The sequence below is a fragment of the Homo sapiens genome, chromosome 8 (genome assembly GCF_000001405.40).
Source record: "Homo sapiens chromosome 8, GRCh38.p14 Primary Assembly".
NCBI lineage: Eukaryota > Metazoa > Chordata > Mammalia > Primates > Hominidae > Homo > Homo sapiens.
This window is the reverse complement of record NC_000008.11, coordinates 48,419,577-48,432,065: the sequence shown is the minus strand read 5'-3', so window position 1 is coordinate 48,432,065 and position 12,489 is coordinate 48,419,577. Positions and strand designations below refer to the sequence as shown.

General features: G+C 50.4%; 1 long non-coding RNA gene across 3 annotated transcripts in view, besides 3 other annotated features; it reads right to left on the bottom strand.

Moving 5' to 3' along the window:
• LOC105375821 (uncharacterized) overlaps nucleotides 1–12,489 on the bottom strand; it is a 127,805-nt gene that overhangs the window by 42,529 nt on the left and 72,787 nt on the right. For all 3 annotated transcript variants that reach the window (XR_001745891.1, XR_001745893.1, XR_001745892.1), the window contains one exon: nucleotides 7,551–7,713. This is a non-coding gene — a long non-coding RNA (uncharacterized LOC105375821). The remainder of the gene's footprint in view (nucleotides 1–7,550; nucleotides 7,714–12,489) is intronic.
• Nucleotides 1,341–1,851: an enhancer, noted in NCBI's record as "H3K4me1 hESC enhancer chr8:49342775-49343285 (GRCh37/hg19 assembly coordinates)". NCBI's record gives its function as "activates a minimal SCP1, AML or CMV promoter by ChIP-STARR-seq in naive and primed H9 embryonic stem cells {active_cell/tissue: H9 hESC(naive and primed)}" and the evidence as "EXISTENCE:reporter gene assay evidence [ECO:0000049][PMID:30033119]".
• Nucleotides 1,852–2,364: an enhancer, noted in NCBI's record as "H3K4me1 hESC enhancer chr8:49342262-49342774 (GRCh37/hg19 assembly coordinates)". NCBI's record gives its function as "activates a minimal SCP1, AML or CMV promoter by ChIP-STARR-seq in naive H9 embryonic stem cells {active_cell/tissue: H9 hESC(naive)}" and the evidence as "EXISTENCE:reporter gene assay evidence [ECO:0000049][PMID:30033119]".
• Nucleotides 2,365–2,876: an enhancer, noted in NCBI's record as "H3K4me1 hESC enhancer chr8:49341750-49342261 (GRCh37/hg19 assembly coordinates)". NCBI's record gives its function as "activates a minimal SCP1, AML or CMV promoter by ChIP-STARR-seq in naive H9 embryonic stem cells {active_cell/tissue: H9 hESC(naive)}" and the evidence as "EXISTENCE:reporter gene assay evidence [ECO:0000049][PMID:30033119]".

Genomic DNA, 12,489 nt, shown 5'->3' with positions numbered 1-12,489 from the left:
AGGTGGAGGGAGTTGAACCGCCAGTCCTCTGGCAGGAAGACATTCAAAGGAAACTTTTCCTAGAATTGTGAGTAACGGAGCTGCTAAAAATGAGGCTTGGCTTTACAGGGCACATACTGGAAATAAAGGCTATTAATAGGTTCCTGCAGGACCATTGCCACACTGAAACCGGCTCCCAGGCAGCCAGCCTCGCCCAGTGGCACCCATGGGGTTGAGATGCAGAAATCCAGGCCTTCTAAGCAGGGCAGAAAAAGAAAAGTATTTCATAGACTTGCCTTAGGAGTGCAAAAAGAGTCAATAACCTTTTCCACCCCCAGTGTAAGGCGAACAGACCCATGAGCTGGTGGGAATATCTGAACACACACAAAACTGAAAGGTCACAGAGCAAAGCTGCTAGGCGCTTCCTGCCCATTCCACCTTTGCACAAAGAACACAGATTGGGGCTTTGGCTCCCTTCAACACATGATTGGCACCTAGTGTGTGCAGACACTGGGGGAGCCATGCTCCCCTGGGACAGCATCTGTGAAACCCACTGTACTGCTGGGACCAAGGGGGAAATCAGGTAGCAAGAATGAGAGTCCCTGAAAAACAGCCCATTTCTCTCAAGCAGCAAGAAGCCAAAGAAAAAAAAAAACCAACATAAATTCTTTCTGAGCCCAGTTTCCTCATCCATAAAATGGGCATAATGCTGCTTACACTGGTGTTGTGAGAATCAAATGGGATGACATCAAAAGGGGCCGGCTCCCCGTGAGGAGCGGCGAATGTGAGTTTGCCTTCCCGGTTGCTAATGGAAGAGGAAAACAAAGAGTTTGAGCCAAGGGGGCCGTGCAGAGCCTGGGAGTACAGGAGGAAGCTGCTGCAGTGGGCTATTTTCCACAGTCTCCGGAGGACGGCGGTCACATACTGAGTGCATGCCCTCTTTCCACCTCCCACCAGAGCACCCTCTGTGCCAAGGCAATATTGCAGTAGTGCTGCATGGAATTCGTCCAGCACACTATGAACAGAAACTGCCTTTTGATTTCTTCTTTTATCTTGCAGACTTTTCATGTTTTCTCCAGAAACAGAGGACCCCAGCTCATCAGGGCATTCTTGGGATGCCAAGACTCAAGACCCCATGTGGTCGCCTATCTCCTTCCTCTGCTCCCTGGTTTCACCTGCGTCTCACACAAAACCAGAAACGCCTCAAGCAGAAACAGAGTCTGTGACCGAATCATCAATTCTGGTTTTTTTTTGTTGGTTTTTTTTTTTTCCTCTTGGAACAGATTCGGGAGGAATCTAAGTATCATTGTAAAATTCACAAAATGCCAAATCCACTGAGTGAGCAACAGATGAGGGAAATTGCTCCACATCCCGTGGAGAGGAAATGAACGGGACTGGGGAGGAAGAATGTGCTGCGTGGTGGGAACACTGTTTTGATTCCTGATGCTGCACATCTGCCACGTTTCTGCACAGAGCTACCAGCCCGGGCAGACACTGAGGACCCTCCTCGCGCACTGGAGCTGTGGCCTCGGCAGCTGTGGGAATGCGGACAGGAAGCAGGGGACCCTGGAGGCGAGAGGAGGAGGACATCCTGCGGGGATAGATAAAAAATAACGGCCGGGCTGTGGGAACCTCTTCCGAGCAAACATGTGAGCCCAGGAATTTCCTGAGCCAGAGATCTGACTCCGGTTATTTGTTGTAACTGATTATTTGTTTTCCTGGAGATTTTGCATAATTTTGACAAAGGGAAAGAAGATATAAAGCCAAGACATGCATGACTGCCCTTCTGAAGCCTCTGCTCACAGAGCAGAGGGATAGGAGGCTGTGATTCAGATTATGGGGCCTGCAGGCTGGGGAGGGCGACCCTGCAGGGGCCCAGGAGCAGGCAGAGTGTGCCCCACAGACCCCTCCCTGGGGCAGAGGGACAGCAGATTACTGGGCCCGAGACGCATTAGGTGGCACATGCTGGTTCCCTCTGTCCAGCGAGCCTCTCCCCCAGCATCATCCAGCCCTGGGCCTCCAGCAGGCAGAGGAGATCATGACCAGGAAGCAATTCATCACCATCCAAGGCCTTAGCAGACTCTGGCTTTCCTTTGAATTTCCAAGAAAACTGCTCCATAATTTTTATCAAGACTTATCATTTGCCCATCTCACCCTACACACTAGAATTTTAAGCGATGAAGTACATGTGGAGACTTACTTTGTAGTCTTTTAAGATAATGACCAAATGAACATTTCTGGCCTCACTCAGCATCTGCTCTGACACGGGTTTAAGGGGCTGCCGCGGCCAGGAAGAGGTGGGCCTGGTCCTGTCGGTGGATGCGCATTCTGCTTCCCTTAGGCGGGGCTGGGCATGCTGGGACCTCCCCTGTGAGGGGACAGCGGAACTCGCAGGGCAGACCCATGTCCCTGGTGTCTTCCTTCTGATGGGCCTTCCCCTCATGTCGGGATCCACCTTACAGGGCATCTGGCCTGGTGTCTGCACATAGTGAAACATGGCTGAGTGTCCCTTGCATTAAATGCATGTCCTTGGGATCGCGGTTTCCCTCTCCTCTCCCTTGTCTTTCCCAAGAAACCCTCCACCCTGACGACACCCCACTAATATCTCCATGTGGCCAATTCCTCACAGGGTCAAATATGCTGGGCCACCCCCTCTGAGGCCGCAGCTGCATCTCAGGTTTGCATTCTCACCACGGCCGTTCTACTGATGGGAGCTTCATTTCTATTTGCTCGAGGTATTACACCTATTTTATTTTTCTTTAATGAAATCCTCCTCACTTCCATCACCTCAGTGCACCCCTCTCTTCAGAGCTTTCCTTCTCTCCCCTCCTCCCTCCCCATCTTTCTTCCTTCCTGTCCCCAAAGACCAGGCCATGGTGCCCTCGAAGGACACAACAGAGCCCCATGTGGACTGGGAAGCTGGCCCTGGCCCAGGGCCCCTCCAGCACAGCCTTTCCCCAACTGGCCTTAGGCAAGTGCCCTGCAGTGTCTATCTGCAGCCATCTCTGCCTCATGTGTTTACAAATTCACCTTCTGCTGTGGATCCCTGTCAACCGCAGGTCCGCCCAACACATTTCGCCCTGGATCTCACTGGGTGGACGTGAACATCCACCTGCACGACAGTAAAGGAAAAAGGACAAGATGGAGTTGTGGGGGCAGGGGGTGGTTCTTCCCATAAAAACACAGAAGCATCACAAGAATAATATTTGTTAAAAGCCTCCAGGATTTGGTGCCGAACATCTCTCAAGGCATCTCCTGATTTCCCAGAGCTGATGGAAATATTCTGAAGGTATTAATAGAATGCAGATGTTGGAGAATGCGACTTAGAATCCTACTGAACAAATGACCCTGTTGGGAGGCAGTTTGCAGTCTCCAGGGACATTCCACAGAGGGCCCAGCTGATTGTCTCATATTGAAACAGCATGTCCCAGCATTCCAGCTAGAAGAAGCGGAACAGGGCTCCTCCACCAGATATAAATCACAAGGCAAAGGGCAACTGAACTCCTTCAGTCCTGCCCTCCCTCCTTCCTTGGTTCACCCTCCACCCCCTCCCCCGCTCCCGCCCCCCAAGGAAAACAAAGCTTGAGTAAGAGGCTGCCAAGCCAAGCCACGCAGGCGCCAGACGGCCGAGCGCGGCACACACGACGGCCGTTTGGGAGGCTCACAGCTTTCGGCACTGTGGCCCTGATGTTTTTGCTTCACTGCAATTTGTTTCTGATCTCCAGTCAAGTCCTTACAACGCTGGGATCCTCTAGAGAGTTTATACTTTGACCTCGTGACAATTAACACCAGAGGCCAAGAAAAAAAAAAAAAACTCGATAAGAGAGAAACTCAATTGGTGGGAGGTGGAGGGTGGGAGGACGGGCGGGGGCCTATTACTAAAGTAAATGCGTTACTTGTGAAATTATTTCCCATCCAATAAAAAGAATGCAGTGTCTTTAAAGAGAGAGTTGCCAAAATGGAAAGAAAGTCTTCTTTCAAAGACTGCCAAGCCTGGCGATCCTCGGTGAACTGTGTGTTCAGGAAAGGACACAAATTAGCCAGGCTGGGCAGCCGGCCTTGCGCAGGAGCCCTGGGACAGAACCTTTCATAGCTCTGTGTGGTTATGAAAGTGTAGGCGAGCCTGCCGTGTCCTCTGCATGGAGGCCCCGTCCAGGCCCTGCCACTGCCCACCCAACAGGGCAGACCCAAGTGCTGGCCAGAGCTGTGGTCCCGGGTCCCCAGCCACCAGGGCTACCACGGGTGACGGGAGGACATGGGCAGTGTGGGAGGCTGTCTGTCTCACCTCTCAGGAGAGGCACGGGGCAGGTGGGGCATGGAGCCCGACACTAGAAAAGTATGGGTGCTGGCTAAGGTGCCCCCTGGGAGGCAAGGATCCTGACCCCACAGCCTTCTGAATGGCATTCCAGCTCTGCTGAGCACAGGCACCTGTGTCCCTGGGGACACACCAGCTGTGTGGACTCAGGAGCAAAGGCACCCACAACACACGATCAGTACCCAGCCTGGAAGTAGGAATGTACCCTCAGAGCCACCCAAACCAGGAGCCCCTCAGAGGACAGGGTAGGGCATGGGCCCCAAAACAAGGGGTCCAAGAGGGCCAAGCCAGAGCCGCAGCTCCCAGGTGGGACACATGCTTCATTTGAATCTGTTCTTCCTTTCAACACTTTACCCTCCTTCCAAAGACAGTCTGTGTTTGGAGCTTGGCCCGGGTTTGAAGGAAGGGGCCAGTGCCATCTGTGGGTACCAATGGGATGATGTGCACATGGCTGGCTGTGAGAGCGGCCTTTCTCCCAGGAGACGGCAGTGCAGGAGGCCCCAGGGCCATGGGCTGTTCGTCGTAAGCCACTGATCCCAGTAGCAAACAACGAAGAGCACAAATAGGGCAGGTGCCACCCGCACAGAGGCACGTGTGCAAACACAGAGGAGCCAGCCAGCCAGGGAGGCAGGTTTCGAAAAGAATTCCCAGTTAAAACAAAATCATCAAAATTATGTTCTTACTTCTGAAATTTATCGGAAAGCAAGATTATTACTATCCTGAGCAGCTAACTGTTTGGGCTTCCTTAGAAAATAAGACATCCCTCAACAGAGGATGCCTGTCGACGTCCATGGGTGCCAGCACACATGGCTGAGGCCTGTGGAGGGTCCCATTACCCCGAGGCGAGGGAGGGGAAGGGGGCCATCTGCACGCTCTGTGGGGACAGAGGCTATTATGAGAGCTGAGGAGAGAAAGCTAATCATGCTTGGGAATCAAGGCAAGCCAGACCATGGAAGTAGAATTGAGACAGCTGAGCTACTCAAGCAATGAGAGCAGAACGAGTATCTTTTGGCAAGGGAACAGCATGTGCAGACACCTAGAGAGGAACAGGGTCACTGTCCCCAGCCTGGGATGGGGAGCAGGTGGGAGTTGGAGAGAGGAGGGTGCTATGGAGAGGATCAGGTCTGCAGAGCAAGTGGGCACGGGACCACAGACCATTCTCCAGACCACTATGCCTATCAAGGATGCCATCTTTGCCTCATTTTTCCGTTGTGGTAAAATATACATAACATACAACTTACCCTCTTAACCATTGTTAAGTGTGCAGTCCAGTAGTGCCAAGCATATGCAAAGCGTTGGGCCACCATCACCACCAGCCATCTCCAGAGCTCATTTCATTTTGCAAAACTGAAACTCTGTATCCATTAAACAATAACTCCCCTTTCCCTTTCTTCTCTGCCCTGGGCACCCACCATTCTACTTTCTGCCTCTATGAGTTTGGCTATTCTTGGTACCTCCTGGAAGTGGAATTATGCAGTATTTGTCCTTATGACTGGCTTATTTCACTTAGCATATGTCCTCACAGTTCATCCAAGTTGTAGCACGCGTCAGCATTTCCTTCCTTTTCAAGGCTGAGCCATATTCCCCTGTATGTACATGCCGCATTTTCTTCATCCATTCATCTGTCGATGGACATGTAGGCTGTTTCCACCTTCTGGCTATCATGAGTAGTGATGCTATGCACATGGGTGCGCACATACCTCTTTGAGATCCTGCTTTCATTTCTTTTGGGTCCATATCAGAAATGGACTTGCTGGATCACAGGCTAATTCTATTTTTAATTTCTAAGGAACCTCCCTACTCTTTTCTACAGCAGCTATGCCATTTTACATTTGCACCGTGTGCAGGGTTTCCAATTTCTCCACATCCTCTCCACTACTTGTTATAAGGATTAGACTTTTGAAGAGAAAAGCCCTGCTGGATTTTTAAACATCCGCTGTGGATGAGGGAGTTCCTCATACTCCTTAGTTCTCAGCGCATTGTCATCAACGGCTGATGCAAGGACCCTTTTGCTGAGATTTTTAAATTCCATTGTGTCCCATATACCACTCTCATTCCCTTCCCCTTCAAAGGCAGTGTCTTTATGATGCATTTCTTCTTATTTGAATGCGTTCTTACAAAGTGTGTTTTATGATCTTGTGTGCATGTATTTTTGATTGATGTAAATGATTGTGTATTTCATCTTGTTTGTTGCCTATTTTTTTTAGCCAAGTGCTATGTTTTTAAGACTGTCCCAGTCTCTATGTGCACACCGAGTCCTTCACAGGACACATTTTCCATGGTCTGAGCACACCATTTTCCACTCATCCAGGCCTCAGAGACCAGCATCCAGGATGCCCCAAGTCCACATCCCCAACAGAACACCGTGATGAACATCCTCACACACATCACCTCCAGGACCTGCCTGAGGATGTCCACAGAGCCCACTGCTGAGTCCCAGGTGGTCTTGCATTTGATTTGGTTAATGGACCAGGTCCCTCTGCACAGCCACCAGCAGCACACAATAACTCCCACCAGCGATCCCACAAGGAGGAAGCTGGGTTGGGGGTAAGCCTGATGGAAAGCTGAGCTTGCAAACCAGATTAGAATTTAGACTTTGGCTTCTAAAGAGTAGAGCCATTGAGGATTTTTAACCAACTCCATAAACAAGGTAAATAATAGCACCTTTTATATTCCAAGTAATCCTTAGGCAAGGCCTTTCTTCTTGTCACTCTCCTACACAGGCTACTGCTGATGACTGTGATTCCCACAAAAGGGCAACACTCTGAGATGAGGGGCTCTGCCCCAAACTCCCACTACACCCATTCACACTTGGCCATTCATGCCACCTTTTAAACATGTATGTCAAAAGCAATTTTCTAATAAGAATCAAGAGTAGAGGCAGGGATTAGAGCTAGCCATACTGGGGTGACATTTCAGTTCATGTCGTGTCAACCATGCCCACATAACTGAGTGTACACCTAAAACCATAGGATGAGTGAGAACTTAAGCGAGGATGAAGACAGGGTCAGTGAAGAGGATGAGGGGTGCGTTCCAGAAGTGGTAAAGTCTCCTCAGCTAGACACTAGAGTCAGAGCCACCATAAAACAGGAGGTCAGAGGGCCTGCACAGAACATAAAAGGGGGCCTTGCAGGGCAGGGGACACAGCCACACAATGGAGATGCCCAAGACAGTGGGACCCACCTGGGCCACACAGCATGAGGATTAGAAGCAAAAAAAATTATCAAGTAGGAGTCTGGATCCTTCACTTACTCACCTGGCTCTCTACGCCTCGGGTTCTTTGTCTCTAAAATGAAGACAGCAATCGTCTCTGTTTCTTCTCTTCTGAGGATACGTAAGCTCCTTGTGCTAGGCACGGCTCCAGGTGTGAGGAGGTTCAGTGGTGAGCAACCCAGACCAGGTTTCCATCATAAGGAAGCCTGCACCCAAGACAGGGGAGACAGCAATAACAATTAAAAAGTACGAAAACATCGTTAGGCCCCCACATCTCAGCTATGGCAGTCCAGATGTTCGCTGGGCCTCTCCACGCCTTACGATCTAGGTAATATTGTGTCCTACCTCTATCCTATGTCCTCTGGAAGGAAGCCAGTGGTCTCCCAAGACTTTCTGAAAATACATCCCCTGGAACTTCTCAAGGTCGTTCTGTCTCCTTCCTGCCTGCCCTGAATTCTTCTTCTCTACTTAATACACTGGTCAAATATTTCCTTGATTCATACACACATGCACACATACACACATACACACATGGCAGTGACAGATTTCACTGAGAACCTTGGAGCTATGGTGGGGCTTATAGAGAGTCAAGGCAAAACTTTTCCTTTGCATCATGTTTGCAGTACTTCTTTTGCCACTGGCTATGTTGCTCAGTCCTTTCCATTCTGTGTCCTCTAGTTCTCTCCTTTCTATTTTCCTTCAACCCTTATGGAGGTGATATTGCTACCCCAATGGGTCCAGAAGGTGTGAACCTCCCCCCAACCTGCAGGGGGTGTGGAGGGCAGAGCATGGAGCCAAAACGGATTATTCTCAAGCCTTGCCTGGTTTTGGACTTGCTTGGGACCCTTCACCCCTCTTTCTTCCCTATTTCTTCCTTTTGGAATGGGATTGTCTGTCCTAGGCCTATCCCGCCATTGCACATTGGAAGCACATAATTTGTCTGGTTTCATGGGCTCCCAGCTGGAGGGAAATCAGCCTCAGGAGCCATCGTACCTGTAATCTCACCCATGTCTGATATTTAGATGAGACTTTGGATTTAAACTTCAAAGTCAATGCTGGAATGAGTTAGGATGTTTGAGGTTGTGGGATGGAATTAATGTATTTTGCACTTGAGAACATGAAGATTGGGGGACTAGGAATGAAGTTTCATGGACTGAATATGTCCCCCCAAAATTTATGTGTTGAAATCCTACCCTGCAGTGTGATGGTTCTAGGATGTGGGGCCTGTGGGTCATGAGGTCATGAGGATCAGTGCCCCTGGCTTCTGCCCGTCCCTCTAATGAAACATCCCACTGTTTGAGTAGAAGCCAGGGGCACAGACTCTCATGACCTTAGGGCCCCATTGGCCTCTGCACTGGACTTAACGGATGGCTGTTCTGTCCTCACCTCTCTTGGACCTCCCCACAGCTCTGACACTGTGACCACACCTTCCTTAAAATGCTCAACTCTCTTGCCTTTTATGTCCAAAGCAGACCTTCTTGCCAGTCACTCCCAGGCAGGGCCCCTGGAAGCTCAGGATCCTCCCCTCGCACATTAAACTTGGGGCACTTCTAGGATTGGCCTGGAGTCGCCTTTCTTTCCCCACTCTGGTGTGCCAAGGGTCAGCACGCCTTGTCTATGGGGGTCAGATGGCCAATCTTAAAGGGCCTTCTTGCAGCTGCCCACAATGGCAGCCTCAGACAGCCATCGTGCAAGCAAAGGAGAGTTCCAATAAAACTTTATTGACAAAAGCAGGCAGCATTTGCTGAGCATGGCTCCATACCTTCTTTGAGTACAGATCCATTCCCAAGGCTTCAAAATGACTCAGATTTATAGTTTCCACTCAGGCTTCTCCTCTGAGCTGCGGACCAATCTTTGCCTCCTTGGACACAGCTTTGCCAGGCTAACCTCGCAGCCTCCCACTGCCCACGCGGCTGTGTTGTGTGTTCCATCTCAGTAACGAGGCAGCCATCCTGGCAGGGAAGCCAGACGCCCGGGCTAGCCTGAACCCGTGGCCGGCGCCCCTGTGTTCAACTCCAGTGTGGATGTGCCCATTTACTCGCTAAGAGTTGCAGGAGGTTTGCTCTCCGCACCAGCCTCACAGCACTTCCCACGTGGCGTCACGTGCCCCCGAAGGCAGCGCAGCCCACACAGCTGCAGAACCTAAGGGCATGCGCCAGCTTCCCTGCAGAACGCACGGTCCCTGGGTCTCAGAGCAGACTCCGACCAGCAGGGCAGGTCCCTCCTCCTCCTCCTGGCTCCATCTCAGACCACGCTCCAGCACCCCCGTCTACCTACAGCGCCCTGTTCTCCCTGCTTTACTGAATTTCTTCTCATCTTTCAAATCTCAAGTCAGATTTATTAAATTCCCCTTCATATGCTCTGAATATACCACACATCTCTTCTTCCATTGTATATTTATTGTTTTGATCATGGGTCAACAAACTACAGCCTGCAGTCTAAAGCCACCCTCCATCCCTTTCTGAAAATAAAATTTTGTTGGAGCTCAGCCTCTCCTGCACTTACATGTGGTACAGATGCTTTTGCACCCCCATGCAACGCAGAGCTGGGCGGTTACAACAGGGACCAGGAAGCCCACCAAGTCTCAAGTCTCTACTGCTTGGCCCTCCACAGAAAACATGTGCCAGTCCCTGGTTTTGCTGATTTGATAAGTCTGTCTGCCACACTGGACAGCAACCCAAGGAGGCTGGAGACCGTGCATGTCCTTCACTGCAAGAGCTTCACCACTGGCGGCAGGGCCTGAGCTCAGCACTGGCTGGCTGGATGCAGAATCAGATCCGCCACATCACCAGATCACATGTCCCACGCTTGGCTGTCTCCTAAGCAAAGACAGTCATGATGCCAAGACCCAAAACGATCACTTCACACTCTTTTTCTCCCTAGCCTCTCTAGTAATGCCCATTCACTCTGCTGGCTGTGATAGTTGAGGTTCGTTGACAACCCAGTGCTCTTCTAAAGACGAAGGAGGCAGTAAATAAATTGTCTGAACACAGGGGCTTGTTATCCAAGTGTGAGTACAGCAATCACACATGAATAAAATATCACCTTTGCAGAATGGCCACACACACGGTCACACACACGGTGGCACAGCCTGTGAGGGCATCTGGGCATTTTGCCTCATTTTTCAGTAGAGAGAACTAGGCTCAGAGGGTGCTGCAATTGGAAAGAGTCTACTCTTATCTTCTGGCTGTGAAAGCTCTTTCCTTTTTAGCACAACAACGTTTCCAAAATGTGTGTTTATGAGGAAAAACGGGGCCCTTTGCTCAAATGTGATTGGAATGGGGGGCATACGCCATAGCCTTGGTGGAGGTTCTACAAGAAGGAAGCCTGCCTAACATGTCCAATGTGTTTGGCCTCAGTGCTTTTTCCCACCAAATACCCAGAACCCCTCTGCAGAGACTGGTGTTCTATACACTTGGAGAAACACATACTTTTAATAATCCAAGTCCGTACCTATCGCTGTGTCCCTGAGGAGAAGATTTGTGGGGAGAGGTGTCTCGGGCTTCCTTCCTATACAATGCCTTCATCTCCCAAATCACCCCATTGCCCCATTCTCTCAGCACAATTGAGTTAAACTCTTAAGAAACAAGCAATTTCATTATCTGAGCAAAGTAATTCCCCTATAATAGAAATGACAGAGATAATCCTTTTAAGTGATTTTTGATGTTTAAAAGAAGAGGTTGCCTACTTACATGCAAGTTAATATCAGACTACACCCTGGGTGATGCCCCATGAACACCTCCTTCACCCTCCACGTCCATAAACAGGAATCAGTTTTGCAACATCCTCCTGGGATGCTGCTGACAGCCTCCTCTGGGCTCTGCTGCACCTCAGTGAAACTCAGGTCATGACTCACACATGATATACTTTGTTCCTCACTCATTCATCTCTCATCCATCTTTATATCACCCCTGCCTCCTGCCAGTGTTCAAAGAATGCTCATTGAATGAAACTGAAAGCCTTTGCATTCTTATCTCACAGATCACTGGCCAACAAATATTTCTCAAAAACCTCCTATGTGCTCAACCCCATGCTGGGCCGGAGTCCAGGAGCTCACAACCTAAAGGGGGAAATAGGGGAGACACGATGGTCCAGAGGGCACTATGAGGAATGTCGTCTCATCATCGTTAATGAAAATGATAATTTTCTGGGAAATTGGGAGAGGTCTCACAGAGGAGACTGGAGCCCCTCATGGGGCCGGAGGAGCTCTGCTGGACACACCGAGGGCAGGGTGAGTAGGGCTGAAGGCAGGAGGGGTACTGGGAATAGCTTGTGGAGGGGCAGATAGGCTACCCTGGGATATCTGGACTTTGTCCTATGGGTAATGGAAGTCATGGAAGATTTTTAATCAAAGCAACGTGATTAAGTCTATGTTTAGGACAAAACCCAGTCTGGAGGAAGGATTGCAAGGGAGAAAGCCTCTTTTTATTTGAAAAGGCACTGGAGCGAGGCTGCAGTGTTCCTAAGCAAGGATTCTTGGGTATCCTACGAGACACATGCTGTCTAGGCAAAGCCAGAAGTGGGGGCTAAGGTGCTGCTGAACACGGAGAGGGTGCTATCACCTCTGAGACTGCAACCATTCACAACAGAATGAGGCAGAGAGCTGGGGATCAAAAGGGACCTGCTCTTGCCCAGGCTTCATGTTCATCCTCCACAAGGAGTCAGGGCATGTGCCCGATGGTGGTGACGCTGGCAAGGTTATGGTGGTGACACTAGCAAGGTCATGGTGGTGATGCTGGCAAGGTTGCCGTGGCGCCCACAGCAGCAGGAGGGTGCCCATGGCGGGCGGCGTTGCCCCGCCCTCGTGGCTGGAGACAGGAGCCCTGCAGGATACTGGACAATACTGGGAAGGAAAAGGAGGGAATCCTCGACCTTGGGCCGGAGCCTGGCCACAGACCACTGAACCCGGAGTGTCTCGACAGTTCTCAAGTAGAAAAAATTCTTGGAAGCTGACGAGGCAGTGAGTGAAAACAAAAGATCCT